Source organism: Homo sapiens, chromosome 18 (assembly GCF_000001405.40).
Source record: "Homo sapiens chromosome 18, GRCh38.p14 Primary Assembly".
Taxonomy (NCBI): Eukaryota; Metazoa; Chordata; class Mammalia; order Primates; family Hominidae; genus Homo; species Homo sapiens.
This window is the reverse complement of record NC_000018.10, coordinates 37398122-37416508: the sequence shown is the minus strand read 5'-3', so window position 1 is coordinate 37416508 and position 18387 is coordinate 37398122. Positions and strand designations below refer to the sequence as shown.

The window sequence follows — 18387 nt, the reverse complement described above, 5'->3', positions numbered from 1 at the left end:
AGCAGGTACCAAGATGCTTTGGGGAATCTTGGGCTAAAAAGACAAGACACCCATGTGAAAACCATATGCAGTCAAGCTAAGGACTAGAGATTTCCAGGATGGAAGCTAGAGGCTTAGAAAAGCTGGGGCTCCTGGAGGTGAAACCCAGGAGCTGGGTTCTGACAGGGGGAGGATCTGCATGGGTTGTCAAAGAAGGGAGGATTACAGGCAAGAGCAAATTATTTGAGTCAGATACTTCAAATGGCAGGCAATATATTGGATGGATGGATGGATGGATAGATGAATGGATGGATGGGTGGATGGATGGATGGACGGATGGATGGATGGATGACCTCAAATGGCCCCAAGGGACCACTGGGCTCTGCCTTGCCCTGTGTATTTGGTGTCTATGGTTTCAGGCCAGGGCTCTAAGTGGCACGAGATGCTCCCCAAACCTCTCGCTCTTCCACTTTCCACCACCCTTTGCTGTTTTGCCACCTTCTGAAAGATACCAAAGAGAATGAAGGTTAAATCTGACCCTTCCTCCTCCCTGCCCCACCCTGGGCCCAACATTCAGAGAAGAGTTAAGTGACAGAGCCTCGTTCTCCTGTATGAATTAATAATTGATTCAGTAACAAATCACTAATATTGCAGTAGTCGTGGTGAATAAGATAATGAATGTGTTCTGTCCAGGGAGTGTCATGTTGTGAGGATTCAGCTGAAATTATTCATAAATGTGCTACTTTTCCTCATCTCCAACTACTGCTAGTTTAGCTCCTCTTTTTAATCTTCCCAACCTGCCACATTCGATGGTAGAAATCGTCAGGCTCCATATACAGCAGAATATTAAGGGGGAACTGCCAAGGCATTATGTCAAATTTCAATAGGTAATAAAAACAAAGTGCTTGAAGACCATTTTCCACTTCTCTTAAAGTTAAAAAAAGAAGACTTCCAAAAACCTTTCTAGATGGGCACTTTCTCCCATCATTGGGGGGAAAAAAACCTGAGTTCAAGGTATTCAGAAACTTGGGTATGATCCCCACTTTACCACAAAGTTGCTGCGTGACTTTGAGCCAGTACTCAACCATCCTGGGCTAAGTCTCCAATCTCTAAACAAGGGGTGCCTCCCTGCTTTTCTCCTGGGTGTCATGATGTAATTGTGAGGTGATGGGAAAGAAAGTGTTCTAGGCCACTAATAGATAGCTAGGCTGGATTTTCTCCACTATCACACCCTACACCAGCCAGGTCAGCAGGTTCACTATTCTCTAAACATGCCTTCCATGTGGCCACCACAGAGAGGGCCCCTGCCCTCCTGTTCACCCTCCATGTCTCTTCCCTTCTCCATCTGACCCAACCAGCACTCTGGGCTCAGTTCAGCCACCACTTGCTTCATGAAACCTTTCCTGATCCTGCCTGACAGACATATTTTCTCCTACTCCACATCTCCCCAGAGCACCCTGGCCCACTCTTACACATACCTCTTACACTGCTTTCCACATACCATCTTCCCTAGTAGACTGCAAGCATCTCAAGAATGGAAGTTGTCTTCTACATCTTTGAGTACAATAAGAAAGGAGAAATATTTGTAGAATGAGTCCACTGGTGGATGAGTGGGGAGATGGATAGATAGATGAGTAGGTGGGTGGATCGGTGGTGGATGAGTGGATGGGTAGATGGATGAGTGGATGGGTAGATGGATGAGTGGATGAATGCTGGATGGATGGATGAATTAGGGCCGGGCTTTGTGGCTCACACCTGTAATCCCAGCACTTTGGGAGGCCGAGGTGGGTGGATCACGAGGTCAGGAGATTGAGACCATCCTGGCTAACACGGTGAAACCCCATCTCTACTAAAAATGCAAAAAATTAGCCGGGCACGGTGGTGGCTGCCTGTAGTCCCAGCTACTCGGGAGGCTGAGGCAGGAGAATGGCATGAACCTGGGAGGCAGAGCTTGCAGCCGAGATCGCGCCACTGCACTCCAGCCTGGGTGACAGAGCAAGACTCCGTCTCAAAAAAAAAAAAAAAAGAAAAGAAAAGAAAAAAAATGAGTAGATGGGTAGATGGATAGATAGAAGAATGGGTGAGTAGATAGTTGGATAGGTGGATGAATGGATGGGTAAGTGGGTGTGAGTGAATGGGTGGGTGAAAGAGTATACATGCGTAGATGGATAGGTGGATGGGTAGATAGATGGATGGATGAAAGAATGAATGGGTAGGTGGGTAGATGGGTGAGTGGAAGAGTAAATGGGTAGATGGAGGCATGTATGCAAGTATGAATGGATGGATAGATAGATAGATAGATAGATAGATAGATAGATAGATAGATAGATAGATAGATGAATGAATGGAAAAATAAGAAACTTGAAACTGGCATTATACTGTTTTCAGTCAATGAGCAAGTGTTTGCCGAATCCCTGCCCTGCCTTCATGGTTATCTCTGCTATGTCAGGTTGGAAAGCAGAAAGGAAGTGTCAATGACTTGACACTGAGAGTGCTTAGAACAGGATGATGGTGATCAGACTGGGTTGGAGAGTGGAGATCATGACATCACAGTTGACAGACCCTTAAGATGGGCCTTTTGGAGGCCTTAATGTGGCCCCTCACCCTACAAAGGAGACTTATGGTACAGAGAGTATAGACATTTTGCTCAACTATACAGCAGGTTGGAAGGGCAAGATCCTGGGTCTCCAGACCACCATATTGCAGTTCTTCCTTCACACCAGAGGGCACTGCACATAAGGGAGGATGATAGGCTCCTTGGAGAGGAGGAATGGGGCTCTGGAAGGATGTGGGACTTGACCAAGTAAAAAGCACTGTCAAGTGGTTAATTCTGATTCTGCCAAGAAATGAAAGAGGATGAGGTGCCCTCTCAGGACTCAACCAGCTTCAGTTGACTGAGATTTTTTCCATAACTGGTCCATGGGGTCATCTGGATTAGGAGACCAGACTAAAGAGGAACTGTAGAACAGGCGATGCCCAAAATACATGTCACAGGAGTGGAGGGCATGGAGGAGTGGGAACAAAAATTGTCTCATTTCCTGTGTGGCCTGTTTTCAGGCCCTCTGTACAAACACACCCCAATCAAATCAAAACCTTTCCAACATGCCCCACAACATACCCTTACACAGCCTTAACCACGGAGCTCCAGAGCAAATGCTGACATTCCACCACCCCCTACACACACAGATGCTCACCGACATAGGTGAACACACCTACAGGAACCCACATGAACAAACGCAGAAATGCACCCCTTAAAACACACATGTCCACCCACACGTGAACACACGCAGACACACAGACATGAAGAAACAGGCATACTCATCCAAGCCTTCATTCTGAGTAAGTTATTAAAAATGTAGACATCGCTGGCTCCCAGGGTCAATATGTTGTTTTTAAATTTAAACATGAATTTCCATTTCATTGAGCCTCCAGGGCTAACAAGATGTGCTGTGACAGGAGCAGCTAGCTGGAAAGGCATGATTGAAGAGCGAGCCAATAATGTGTGTGCACAGCCTGGGCGGGGAGGGGAGCCCCTCTGCCCAGCCCCCGCAGCCTTCTATAAGCCATGAGCAGGCAGTGAGTATCATTACTACTACTCAGCACTGAGTTCTGACCCAATTCACCAACCAACCTCACACCGAGAACAACTGAGAACCTCACACACATTGGCGCGGGGAGTGGCAGCCGCTCAGTCCAGTCAACACCTGAAAGTGGCCCTGAGGCCATCTCTGCCTCCATCATTCTCATTGGCCTTTCTCATCCCAATATTAGCAGCCAACCAAAATTTCCAAAGCTAAGAGAGCAGAGTGTGATGCAGAAGTAACATCCATTCATTCACCCGTCCATACACACATGCACTCATCTATCCATCCATTCACCCATTCATACACACATGCACCCATCCATCCACCCACCCACCCATCCACACACACGTACCCGTCCACTCAACCATTCACCCATTCATACACACATGCACCCATGCACCCACCCATCCATACACACATGCATGCATGCATCCATCCATCCATCCATCTATCCACCCATGCATGCATCCATCTGCTCACCCATCCACCCATGCATGCATGCATCCATCCATCCATCTATATTCTGTGAAAATTCAGGCCTGGACTAAGGACTGTGGAGGTGAGGGCAAGAAGAAACATGCTGTCTCTGCCCCCTGGAATCTCCACTCTTATTGGGATAAGATGTGTTTCTCATTGAACCCCAGCTGTACCCTCTGTATCCTCAGACAGCACCAGACACTCTGGTTTATAACATGCCATAAGCAGTCTCCGTCTCTGGGCTGGAAGTTCTGCAACAGAAGGTATCATATCTGTTTTGTCCAGCAATGGACATTCGGCTCCTAAGCCACAGTAGGTACTCTGTGAATCTTTGGCAAACTTGAATGGGTTAAATTCAAATCTGGACGGCTGACTCAGAGGTCTTATGTGGTTGTATTCTTCCTCATCCCCCAGCATGAAGGAGGGAAGAAAATAAAGAAAACACCACAGCAAAGAAAAGGGTGCTGAGTGGTCAGGATCTGCTCCATGGAAGAGGTGGATAGGGAGATGACCTTGCTTTTGGTATGCCAGGCGGCTGGAGGGCACAGTTACCCTCCTGCAGGAGAAACAGTGGCTAGGAGCCCCTGGACACGGGTCCTGGCTGGGAGGGAGGCACAGTTGGCACAGCTGAACTAGGCCTTGAGAGGGCCTATCTAGGCTAGCAGGGAGCTGCACCACTTCCCCATGCAGCCCGCCTCATCTCCTGCCTGCCACTGCCCTTCTCGATAAGCTGCTGAGCTGCCCATCTCTGAAGCCTGGGGAGAGCCCTGCCTGGTGCTGGCTGCTCTCTGGGTTTCAGGGAACTTTGATTAGGCTGGACTTGGTGGATTCTGTAGGATTTTAGGTATCTTGTGTGTTTTAAATGCCAGTTAATACCTAACGTTCTTCACCCATCAGAAAGTGAGAAGCAAGTAGCAGCAGTGCCCCTCATGAATAAGTCACCCCATGGCCTCACCTCCTGGAGATGGTTTGGTCAAAGCCAGACCCTATTTTTCTTGCCATGCACACACACATACACAGATACCCATGGGACCAGGTGCCACTGGCTAATGTGGGACCATGTTCCCTCACCCTCACACAGCCTCAACAATGCAGCCACATGCCCACATAAACACACACGTCTCCCACACATTGGGATGGGCTTTCCCTCTCTTCGAGACTTCTGAACTCTGAATAAATTTCAAAACTCTTCCCTTAAAAATCAGGCTATTTGGGCTGGGTATAGTGGCTTATATCTGTAATCCCAACACTTTGGGAGGCCAAGGTGGGAGGATCACTTGAGCTCAGGAGTTTGAGGCCAGCTTGGGCACATAGTGAGACCCGTCTCTACAAAAAAATACAAAAATTACCCGGGCATGGTGGCACACACCTGTAGTCCCAGCTACTCAGGAGGCTGAGGTGGGAGGATCTCGTGAGCCCAGGAGTTTGAGGCTACAGTGAGCTATGATAGTGCCACTTCACTCCAGCCTGGGTGACAGAGTGAGACCTCGTCTCAAAAAAACTCTTGGTTTCTGCCTTTGGGAAGTAGTGCCTCTCCCCATCTCTGGATCTCACGGATGCAGAACTCCAGGATCAAGGGAGCAGTGCCCCTGCAGGGCAGCTGGACCATTCATTTCCACTTCAGGCCTTGAGGCCAACAGCAGCCCAGCCCTGGCAGGGGATTTTACAGGCACATGTCCACCTCAGGCTGCTTGTGTGCCCTCCTTGCATCTGCGGTGACGGGGGTGTGCAGGCTGACTCACGCACCCTAAGTCACTTGGTCATACATGCACACAGGCATACAATATGCGATTGCTGGGCACACTCTCACCTTCACATGCCACATCCGTCTACCCCAACACACACGCCAAAAGCGTAGATGGCCTATGTGCAGAGACAGCTCTCACCAGCATGCACACTGAAGGTGGCTGGCACAGCGTGTGCAGGGATGCCCACACGCACACACGAACACACAGGCATGATGTCAAGCCCTATCGTCGGGTTTGCCAGCCCGAGGTTCTGGTAGCCCAGGTGTGGAGTGGGTGGGCCGGGGGACAGCGTGCCCACACTGGCCTGCAGCCCTGGACCTTCATGTGCCCAGGAGTGGAGGCCCAGGCCTCTGGCCCTTTAAACATCCATTTAAAGTCTCATCTCTCAAATAATTCAGCAGAGGCATCAGCCAAAAGGGCACACTCTCCTTTCCTTGTCTTCAGGAGCAGAGAAGGAAGGAGACAGGGGAGAGAGTAGATTAATTGGGCCTGGAACAGGAGCCAGGGATTGTGTAAGCCTAGGCTGCCAGGGAGGCAGGGGCGGGGGTAGGGAGAGTCCAGCTTTGCTCTTCTCCTCTTTCTGTCCTTTTCCTGTCATGCTCTCCCGAGAACCTCACACACATCGGCACGGGGAGTGGCAGCCGCTCAGTCCAGTCAACACCTGAAAGTGGCCCTGAGGCCGTCTCCGCCTCCATCATTCTCATTGGCCTTTCTCATCCCAATATTAGCAGCCAACCAAAATTCCTGAGAGAGAAGAGCTTTCAGGCTGGGCCCAGTGGGTGTGCCTGGCCCTGAGGCGCTGCATGTGAAGGGTCACTTTGTAAAGCAAACTCTGTCTGCAGTGCCCCAGGGAGCCCAGAATGGCAGAATGGCAGGTGGTTGGGCCTGGGCAGGTAAAGCATGAAACCTAAAGCAAGAAACCCATCTGTAAACAGAGCCCTGTCCCCTTGCTAGGTCTCAAGTATAGACCCAGAGTCCTGACACTTCTGTCCCCTCCCTACCATGTCCCTCAGCTCCCCCTCCTGTCTTTGTCACCTGCCAGGTTCTGTCACCCATTCTCTTCACCCCCCGCCAGGGTCTCCCTCACTCTGGACACTCCCTTCCCTGATGCAGCCCCCCACACTTGGCTTTCTGGACCTCGACAACAGGGTGCAGGCTAGGGTCTGCCTACCCACTTTTCAGAATAGCGTAGAGTAAACCAGATACACAAGGGATGAGCAGACAGATTTCAGCTCAGTGAAGAGCGTGCTTACAGCAAGGGGTGTCCCAAAACACAGCAACCTCCTCTGCAGTAACTGTCTGCCCAACCCTCCCCCACAATGAGGCATCCTTGGGGGACTGCAATACCCCCAAGATTCCTCCTAGCTCAAACATGGTGAGTTTGCCCCTCAGTAGGAAGCAGTGCATCACATCCTGAGGGGGCCCTCCCCATTGGCTGCCCCCTGGCTCCTAGTTCTCAGGCCAGTCATCAAAAGGGCAAGAGGCACCAAACCCATTCCAGGTTTTGGTCAGTCCTCCCAGAAAGCTGGTGGGAAAGTGTTTATTCATGTGGGAAATCAAATCGCCAGGGAGAGCCACATTTCCCAGCACATGAGTATGTAGGTCAGGCTCAGGGTTTCTTCCGCATGGCCACCCTTTGGGTATCTGAGGACAGTCAGCAGTCCTGGCCCCTGCCCCCACACCCTGAGCCTTCATTTGGAGTCATTCAGTCAACCCATACGTTCTAAGCACCCGGTGCGGGGGATCCCATGATGAATTGACAGACCTTTCTGCCTGCTGTCTGGAAAGGGACCCATGCAGGACTAGGACATGGCATCTGTGCTTCCTAAGACCAGAGCTAGGAGAGAGGTGGGCAGGTGGAGAGGGAGACAAACACCCCCACACACCACGGAGCAGGCGGCGATACCTGTACCCTGAAGAGCTGGGTGGTGGGACAGGACCAAAAAGAGAAGCCCGTGTTCGGGGGAGGGTGCGCCGGGTGTCCCCAGCCTGAATCCAGACTCTCAGACTTAGGAGCTGTGGCTGGGACTCAACAAAGGGCAGCTGTGAAATTCTGAGAAGAGCCAAGGGGAAAGGAGCCGAGAACTGGGTCTTCCCAACTCTGCCTCCAATTCTAGGAAACGGGAAGAATCATAAAGTGAAGTGTGATGAGGCCTTCAGATTTGCCAGACTTGTATGGAATCTCCAGGCTTCCTCCTCTCACATCCTCCTGCACCGCGCCCCCCCCCGGCACCAACCAAAGGGGGAAAAAAAAAAAAAAACCTTCTTGATTTTTCCATGTGTGTAGTCAGGGTAGCTGAGAAACAGCAGATTCTTACGTTCCTGGAAAGTTGGGTGCTTGGTCCCTTGCAGTCCTTTGAAAGATATGGTTCAGGGTCTTCCTAAGAGAAAGACAGTAGCCTCAACTCAAAGAAGGAGGCTTCCTGAAGGATGGGTACCTTGCTCATAATTCCTATCATGGATATAGAATTTTAATAAATAATCCTGCTTACTAATAAGAACAAAGGAGCCACTTGTCTTCCCCAGCCCATCAGTCTAAGAGCAGGAGACCCTGGCATGGGAGAGAGGAGGGCGGTGAGGTGGGAAAGAGGAAAGGTAGACAGAGCTAGCATCCAGTGATTCAGAGCTATTCCAAATTCCACTTTCTGCCTTCCAGCTGCATCCCAGCCGCTTCTCCTCACTAGTATTCTGTGCCAGCCAAATTTCGGTACACACAGTGTTGCGGTTTAACCAGTCCTTTTAAAAATCCTTTTTTTTCCCAAAATCAATGTAAAAATATTCTGTGGTACAGAGCAGATTTGATTAAAAAAGGAAAAGGTTGCCTGAAATATGCCCCCCAAAAATTGAGCTAATGGAAATCTCATTCATTATTTAATCTCCTGCTTATCCGAATAGGACCAGAATGGAATCCAATATGGCATGTGCAGTGTTGTCCTGGAGAGCAGACAGAAGGCAAGGAGCAGGGGAGGGAAGGACAGATGCAGACCTGCCATTTCACTTCGTATATTAAACCAGACTGCAGGCTGTGAACCAGGTTAATAACAATATTTATTGTTATTAATGCCTGAACATCCTAACGTGTGCGTTTGTATGTATGTGTGTGGGTATATGTGTGTATATATATACACATATACCCACACACATACACACACATATATATACACATATACATACATATATACACACATGTACACACCTGTACACATGCACACACACATATTTATCTGGTATCCATTCTCTTGTGTTACACTGTGATTCATAAGCTGCCACACTACTGGACTTTATTAAACACAGATAAAATTTGTCTCATCCAGCAACAGCCCATGAAGTGATGGGACCCAGGAATGGCCAGGCAGGTGCCATGTCTGCTCACTCATGCTGGGCTGGCAAAACCTGCCTCATTCTAAAAAGAGCTTGGCAGGAACTGGAGTAAATATCCAGCAGCCCTCTCCCTGGAGTGATGTTGTTGGGTAGGGACAATGTTTTCGGAGAGTTTCCCGTGTGCCCAACTTTATGTACACTGGTGCCTTTAACCCCCATAGCAGTTCTGCAGATAATATCATCCTCTCTGTCTTGTAAGGGAGGAAAGTGAGGCACAAAGATGTAAGGAAACTGGCCCAGGTCCAAAGAAGAGTAAGCAGTAGGTCTATTAGATCCTAAGGTTTGTTTTCTTTTTTCAATAAACCATGCTGTCTTTCCTGAGGTCTAACAAAGTGAGGTCTGACCTTCCACCTTTGCTTGGATGGATGATAGACACATCAGCAGCTCTCCCAGACGTTCCATTTTGTTCAGACTGGTCTCCTTCACCCGCTCCTAGACAGGCCCACCTTGAATTCCTGGCTTTCCCCATTCCCCCACTTCCCCACAACCCCATAATACCTTTCCTGGCTTTCTTCCAAAGGTCCAATTCCTCTACCTGCCCTACCCAACTTCTATTCCCTGAGGTCTAGCTGCTGAGCATCTGATGAGTACAGGGCCCTGCACTCAAAGGCTGCATATAACAGGCAACATTAGGGGTTTTCCTTTTCTTCAACCCTGGCCCACAATGGAGCAACCAGGAAAATATTTTCTTCTTTCAATGTGCTTTGTGCTTGGGTAACAAATGGGTCAGGTATATTGGGACAACAGTTGCTCAGCAAAAGGCCACCCTCCAAGTTGTCTATCTGTAGATGATTTATCATGCAGGTCCTCACTGGCCGCACTGCTCAGGTTCCCCCAAGGTCCAGCAGCACATTCACCCTCTTTTCCATTCCAGCAAGCCCATAGCGCAGGACCGTCAGCCTAAACCAGATGGATAGGGACGTATGTGGGAGGCAGAGAGACCTTTCCCGTAGAAGGCATGTTTTTAGTGAGCTATCCTGTGGGCTTATGCTGGGGAATCTCTCCTCCCTCTTCTGCAGTCCCACTGACCAAACTGAACTGGGGTGCATGTGTGGGGCTCCGAGGATAGAGATGGGATGGGTGTGTCATCCCATCTCTACTGACTGCTTTGCCTCCTTTAAAGCCAACCAGGGACAGCTTTCCTTTACTCCTCATATTTTTGAAATTCAGTTTGGGCTGCAGGGGAGTTTAAAAAAAAATAAAAATGGAGCAGGGCACCAAACACCCTATGAAACAACTCAGCGAGGCAGTTTCTCCAGCGAACCTGCGTCTTCTATCTTCTGTGACAAAAAGATTTATAGCAATTTTTTATTAAAAAAGAGAGAGAGAAAGAGAGCTGCAGATAATCAGATCTGAGGCTCAGAAATGGGAGCGTGGGGGTGTTATGCATGTAAGTTATTTTAAAATATATGTTAGGTTCGTGATGGATTTTTCCACTCCCGGCTGGAGGGGGGCCAGCCCAGCCCCCCACCACCACCCCATGCCTGGCCTGAAGTGATGGAAATGATGTGTGAAGGGGACAGACAGAGACAATGGGACCTCCCCCACTAATATCTCACAGGCACTCTCCCTCCACAGCCAAAGCCCACCGCCCTCTTCCCTCAACAGGTAGAGAGGGGACTCCTGCTTTTAGCGGGAAGAACATAGCCACAGGTTCTTAAAACTGAAAGCAATCTTAGGGACCCTCTGGTGTTGAGCTAAAGGCCTATTTTATAAATGAATTAAATGATGGTTATAGAGAGAAGGCTTCCCCTGCATTTTGGAACACAAAGATGGGCCTTGCTGGCCTTGTTGGTAAGGTGTACACATCTCTCTGCTAGTTCTCTAAATCTTCTCAGTCTCCTGCATCCCGGGGCAGAGCCCCTCTTCGAAGGAAGGGTAGAGGCAGGAAGTGGCGTGTACACCACAGAGAAAGAACTGGGCAGAGGTGGCGGGATGGTTACCCAGTCCTGAGACTGAGCAGAGCACACCTTGGGTGCAGAGATCTGAACTAGCAGAGGAAGGGGCAAGGGCAGGAGGGTGGGGGAGATGTGATCATCCCTGTGGATCATGCCCCTGCCTGAGGAAATTCCTCCCACACAGGGAGGCCCAATTCCATGGGACCTGTGGACAACACTGCCAAATGACTAGACATTCAGCTGTTAGTGAAAATGACAGGATGACAACGTGGAAGAAGTGTCTGGAAAACATGTCCTATGAGGAATAGCTGGAGGAACCAGGAATCTGAAGGAAAGGACACGGGGGGGGTTGGGGCCTGCTTTCAGGCCCAAGCCCAGCCAGCTCAGAGCAGAGAGTGGCCCCGTGGGTGAACGGCTGGGTGCAGGTGTATGATGGACTTTTTTTTGTTTTGTTTTGTTTTTTTACAAGGAATGTTTGTTTGGTGGGACAAATAGCAAAGACATTTTAGAGGGTGGGACAGAACTAATAAGAATGCTGAGGCAAGGAAAAGCATGCGACAAGGGATGGGCAGTGCTTAACCCCAAAATGAGTGCTAATGGTGGCATGCCAGCCTCCAGAGCAGATTAACAAGGAAGATGCTAGAAGGAGGGGCTTTCTGAGTGCCTTGGACCTCACTGTTAGGGCAGCCACACCTCCACACTGGTCTTGGTCACAAGGTGTACACTCTCCATCCTGGCTCTCTGCTTTCTTGGGGTGCCTCTGAATCCTCTGTGAGCCGAGCTCCCCAAGAACCAAAGTGTATGGGGTGAGAGTGCTGGAGCAGGTCGAGCCAGGTGGGCCTGGCTGGAGTGATGTCCAGGCCCAGGCACAGCCCCCATGTGAGATTCCCATGGCTTCGGGAGGGCCCTGGGCATCCAACTGTGCACTTGCCCCATCAGGCAGGGCCTGGACTCCTGTTTTCCAAGTTCCCTGCCCTGTGTCTATGCCCCAGATCCTACTCCACCACTTTGCCAGTGAGTTAATAAGCTGAAAACAAACACTTAACTCCAGAGGTGCCCTGCATGAAGGCACTCCAGGATTTGGAAATGGGGGGCCTCCTCTTCTGTGGGGTGTAGTCTGGAGACCAGAGAACTCCTCCACTATGTGACTGAGACCTTCTGCTTCCCTTTGGGTTCAAGAACCGGGCATGAGCTGAGCAGGAGCTTCAGGGGTTGGGGGATGTGCTCGAGGTCACGTGCCTCAACCTCTCCAAGTTGTAGCTGTCTTGTCTATAATGTAGGGTTAATGAACTTGCTGGCTCAGGCCTGCCCATGGGGCTGTTTGAGGAGTAACTGTGACAAGGCATGTGAAGGCCTGGCCGGGCCCCAGAGGGGAATCCGGGAATGGTGGTCAAAGATCCCACTTCAGGTGGAAGATGCTGACTGTAAAGCACCCTGAGTGCCTCCTGGACAGATGGCCTCACAGCGGGGGGCAAAGCCATGCCAAAGCCAGCCATGGGCACTGAGAGCCCTGAGGTAAGGAAGTGGACCTCTGAGAATAGGAATGAGAATTAGGGCTAAATCCAGGGGAGTCTGTGTAGCTGAGACCATCTCAGAAGAGGGTATGAGCAGCACTAGCCCAGGAGGCCCAGTGGCTCTGTCCCAGCCACAGCATCTGCATGAGCCTGCACACATCATTTCATGTGCGCTATGTAAACTCCGACACGTATCACTCACGCTTCTGCCTAGGGCCGCCCTTCTGCAAAGGGGAACACACACCTGCGCTGTCCTGCCTGTCCCACGCCCTCTCAGCCCCACCTCTAGAGGACTGCACACCGTCAGGCACAGCTGGGCCAGGCCGCACAGCAACCCGGGCCCCTGCCAGCACACACACCCACCACCCCCTCGCCACATGCTGTCACACGGAGTCACATGCAAACATGGAGTCACATGGCCCTGTCCCTCCACTCCAGCCATTTGTCCCCAGCCCTCCCTGTGGGCCTTGTGTGACTGGAGGAGGAGCACAGAGAGCCACAGGGGAGGGGTGGCCTCGCCTCCATGGAGGGTGACTCCTTGTGTTATTTTTAAACATTCCCCTCATTTGCTAAATGAGGCTTTCGCTCCCAGGCTCCCTTTGAAGCGGCTGCTCCTCTTATGGAGGGGGGCAGGGAGACAGTGGCCTGACAGATGCTTAAGAAATTATAGGCGAAACTTGCTGACTCAGGCCCGAATTATGTGCTGTCCCGGGACTGTGTTTAGTCCAATGAGGACTGCTGGCTGGCCCGCCCTCCCCCAACCCCAGCCCTCTTCCTTCTCTCTCTGCCTGTCTCCCCTCCTCGCCCCATCTCTCCCCTCACTCTCACTGTCTCAGATTAGGCATCTTTGCCACCTCCTCCTTCCCTTCCTCCCAGCCCTCCTTCCTGGGGCTGGAGAGCCTGCCCAGTGAGGGAAAAGATGCCACCCCCACGGAGCCACAAGAAGCCACATGGGGCCCTGTGCATGCCAGGACTGGGGCCTGTTCAGGCCATGCATGGAGGGTGGGGAGGGCAGAGGAAGGCTGGGGGAGAAGGGCCCAGGGAAGGCTCCTCAGAAGAGGGGTCCTTGAGCTAGGCCTGCAGGAACCTTGAACTTGTTAGGCTGTGGAAGGGCACAGGGCTGCCCAGAAGAGAAGGAACAGCCCTGGCCAGTCCCCAGGGCAGAGTAAGCTAGGTGTGGACAAGGTGGGAAGCTCTGTTATGGGGGGAGAAAGATCTTTTTGAATTTCAAAAGTTCCTTTTGGCTTGAACTTTTACTTACTCTTTGGCTTACTTTTTGTCTTTCTCTTTCACCTTTTCCACATTCAGACTCTGGCTCTTTGCTGGAATAAAGAATGACAAAGAGCTTCTACCCTCACCCTACCCCACACCTACTTTCCACCTGCCACCTCCAAGCTAGAAGGATTGAGAAGGGGCTCCCACTCAGAACACAAGGACAAGAAGAGGGGGGTCCACCCAGGCTCAAAGGGGTTAGAGAAGGGGCAGCTCCCTGGGGTCCCCCTGACCCTGGAACCCTGGAAACAGATAGGTCCATGGAGGTGAGCAGTGGTATATGTTCCAGGCAGGTGCAATAGGAGCGTTTAGGAGCAAGAGCGAGCATCCTTGGGGCCCCAATGCCTCTTCTCCCATGTGGGCAACCTGAAAGACGGATGGTAATTAAACTGGAATGCAAATTAAAGTGGTTCAGACCAAACACTTATGGATTCACCTCAGCAGCCTCCCTGCTCATCCCCAGCGGATCATGTATTCACCGCCTCAGCATGAGAAGGGGCACATCCCCTCCAGGTGGCCTCAGAAATAAAAAAGGAAGGAAGCCCAGAGGTAGAGTCCAGATGCCTGGGTTTCAAGTGAGGGAGTTGGAGGCCCAGAGAGCTGCAGTGATTTGTCCCAACTCCCCAGCAAACTGATGGCATACTCAACGTTAGGTTTTAAAGGCAGACAGCCCCAAGGAGACAGTGGGCTATAACCAGAGAGTGATGCACCTGAATAGGCAGGAAGACCTGGGGTCTGGCCCAGGCCTCCTTATGGATCATGCCAGGCCCCAGGTCAAGCCAACTCAGGGCTTGAAATGCAATATCCCTTTCTTGAGCCGAGTAACCTTGCAGCCCCTAGGGAAGTGAGAGGCCAGCCCTGTGTAAGTATGCTTTGGTGGGAAGAACGCTGGATGGTGTCCTTGTCTATCTCCCCATTCAACTATTAGCTAAAGGCTGAAGGATTTCTGGCTCATGGCTGGTGTCAGGGAAGTCTCAGATCCATGTCATGGAGTGGTAGAACATTGCCTGAGCTGGGCTCTGTGGCTCACAGGCTGGGAAGTCTTAGGCAAGCTCCTGGATGTTTCTGTGTCTTGGTTGCACTCTCAAGAGAACTGGCTCATAAGGCTGTTCTGAGGACCAAATGATTTAATGCATGGACAGCCCTTGACCTGTGCTCAGTGACCTTCAGTTAGTATTGGTCTGTAAGATGGCCGGATCACACTCTGAAAGGCACTTTCCTGAGTCCTTGCCCCACAAATGCAGAGCTCACTGCCTCTTCCATGAAGCAGTGTTGCTCATCAGGAGCCCAGGACAGGGCCTCCACACAGTAGGTGCTTGCTGAGCTGCCAGACACAGCCAACCACATGAAAGGTTTCATCAGCTGGCCTTGCAGTTCAATTTTAAAGGAGAGGATGACCTGGTGGGAGAAGGGAAGTTGCAATGAACATCTCCATGTCCGTCGCTTTCTTTTCTGAGTGAAGAAGACCTACCTACAACCATCTGGGGGTCCAGCAGAGGAGTCACTGGAGCCTGAGCATTCATCCCAGCTGCCAGTCCAGGCCCCCATCTAGGCCCTGCCTCACAGCTCTCTGGGAACCAGTAGAGCCCAGCAGAAGCAGCCAAGGAAGGACCCCCACACCTACTCTATTCTCAGAGCCAGCCCCCAGGGCCCCTGCCAGGCCCAACACTGCATCAGAAGGGCCCAGGCCCCGCTGGGATCAAGCTGTTCCCATAGTGACACACAAATCAGCCGCCCTCAGCCCTGTCATTTGCCAGAACCCAATTCATGAGCCTCTAATCAATAATTCAGGCGTCTCCATCTGTGGAAAACTCGGATTTGGCCTAATTTCTCTCATAAACAAAGAACATCATCTGCTCATAAGAGTAAAATAGACACCAGTCAAATTTCTCAAAAACTAGAGATTCCCATGAACGGCATTCATTCTGGGTCTGGGATGACAGAATCCAGCTTGCCTTTGTGAATACTGTGGGCAGGCTGGGTTGAGAACACAAAGCCTGGTGTGGGAAGCTGGACTGGGCAGTTGGTTCAATGAAGAAGAAGAGAATGTATTTTAAGTGCTCCAATATATGGTTTGAAGACCAACGGATGGACCTAACTACCAATGATTCTTCTCCGTTTACTGGAATTGGCCCTCTGATCTGTTTCTAAGTAGTATTTGCTGAAAGAACATGAATGCAACAAACACATTTCTTTGGAGATATTCTTGAGCCCAGGTGTGTCAGTCAGGCTTCTCCAGAGAAATAGAAGCTATATACACGTGTGTGTGCACATGTGTATGTATATGTGTGTGTGTACATGCATACATATATATACATACACACACATATACATATATACACACATATATAAAGGTTTATTAGAAGGAATTGGCACATGTGATTGTGGGGGCACTGGCAAGTCTGAAATCTATAGGGCAGAGCAGCAAGCTAGAAACTCTCAGGCATGAGTTGAAGCTGCAGTCTTGAGGCAGAATTTCTTCTTCCTCAAAGAAACCTCAGTTTTGCTTTTAAGGCCTTTCAACTGATTGGATGAGGTCCACCTGTATACCCTCCTTTTACTTCAAGGCAAATACTGGTAGATGTAGACTGTACACCTAGATTTGTGTTTGATTAAATAAGATGCATGCTACAGCCTAGCCAAGGTAATACATAAAACCAACAATCTCATCAGTTTGCCTCCGGGATTTGCCTTTCCCTCAGCATCTATTCTCCCAGTGGACCTAAATCAGTGAGGCTCATCTGCCTGGGTGAGAAGCGAAACATCAAGGAATGATTGAGCCAGAGCAGACCCTGGAAAGGATGTGCTTAGGGAAATTGGAGCCAAAATAACTGAATTGATTTGCCCAAGGTCACATAGCTAGTTAGATGGGCAAGCGTCTTACTGAATCAGGACCACAGTAGGCTCACCTGCCACGTGAACCAACCATTTTTGCCTGCCTGCCTCCAAGTCTAGGCAAGGTCCTGTACTACAGGTGTGCAGCTGTTACAAACCAACCCTGGTTAGTGGACAACTGGTGGGTGTATCTCAGGCACTTTGTGTTTCTGTTATTTGGACCCTTCTAGAGCGACTGTTGTTCAGCCTGTTAGTAAAAGCCCCCACAGGATACCAGGCATTGTGTTGGTGATTGTCGTAGTCCATTTTTTGCTGCTATAACAGAATACCTGAGAGTGGGTAATTTATAAATAATAGAGCCTTATTTGGCTTACAGTGGAGAGGCTGAGAAGTCCAAGGGCATGGAGCCAGCATCTGTTGAGGGCTTTCTTACTGCACCCAAGGAGGAAAAACAGAAGGGGACACAAGTGCATGAGGCAGAGAGAAAAAAGGGGGGCAAACTCATTCTTTTTATCAGGAACCCACTCTCACGGGAACATTCTAATGATAACGGCATCAATCCATTCACCATGACAGACCCCTCATGACCTAATCACCTCTTAAATGTCCCATCCCTTAATATCACAATGGCAATTAAATTTTCAGTATGAGTTTTGAAGGGGACAAACATTCAAACCACAGCAGTGATCAACAAGTATTTCTGAACAAAAAACGACTGTGAGCATCTCCTGTGCGTTATTCACCTTGGGCGCCCTATCATTTGGCACAGTGCCTACTACAATAGAAATGCTGACCTGAAAGGGGTTTCCTAGACTGAGAAGCAGTGGGCAGGCCTCACCCACAGGTGGGAAGACAATTGGCAGGACAAAGCAGTCACGTGTGAAGCATGGGCAGTTTGAAATCTATATGCACCCCCGGGATCTCTGTAAATCCTCTCAGCCACTCGAGGGGATGTAGCCACCTCCATCTTACAGTTGAAGAACCTAGGACTTGGCAGGAGAAGGGATTTGTCCAAGGTGGCTGGGTCCATGGTGCGATCTCGAGTGATCGCAACACAGTGCCCTGCCTGCTAAGCTCCACCACTCTCCGGAACCCCCACGCCTTGGAGAGAAACAAAGGCCAGAGGCCTCAAGCAGTGTCAGTGGCTGGTACGTGTCCCTGGCCCTTTCACCAACAGGCCTCCTTGGGAGGACCTCTGTGGGCCAGGGAGGAGGGTGAGATGGAGGGATGGGCTGCAGCCTTATGTCTCAGCAGAAGGCCCCTTTGACGGGCCAGTGGCCTCACTCCTGGGCCACAGCAGGAAGCCTCCTCCCACTGCCCCGAGGCTAGGATCTTCCTCAAGATCAGCAGGATGTCTGCTCCTCAAGGTCCCTCACGTGCCAGAACCACATCATGGAGCAGCTATGTCTGTGAGGCACAGTCCACGAAGGGAGATTCCTTCTCTCTAAAGGTCATTGTCCACAATAGAACAGTTCTGCTCCCGAAACCTACCCTCCCAGGACAGGACTTTCACTGTCATCCTGGCCCTCGTTTGCCCACTTTTCCAGCCCCCTCTCCCTTCTGACTCCAAACTCCAGAACTTTAGAGAAGGAAGTAATTTGGCCTGGACTATTATTGAAAGGGAATGGGGGAAGGGGTCACAGGCTATAAAAGCTCTTCTGCCTCCTTCACTCTCTCCCAACAGCAAGGGCCGGCAGCT

General features: G+C 50.5%; 1 protein-coding gene across 125 annotated transcripts in view, besides 1 other annotated feature; it reads left to right on the top strand.

Moving 5' to 3' along the window:
• The window catches only part of CELF4 (CUGBP Elav-like family member 4), a 322955-nt gene that overhangs the window by 149290 nt on the left and 155278 nt on the right, over positions 1–18387 (top strand). The window lies entirely within an intron of this gene.
• Positions 12292–13155: an enhancer, noted in NCBI's record as "H3K27ac-H3K4me1 hESC enhancer chr18:34983317-34984180 (GRCh37/hg19 assembly coordinates)". NCBI's record gives its function as "activates a minimal SCP1, AML or CMV promoter by ChIP-STARR-seq in naive H9 embryonic stem cells {active_cell/tissue: H9 hESC(naive)}" and the evidence as "EXISTENCE:reporter gene assay evidence [ECO:0000049][PMID:30033119]".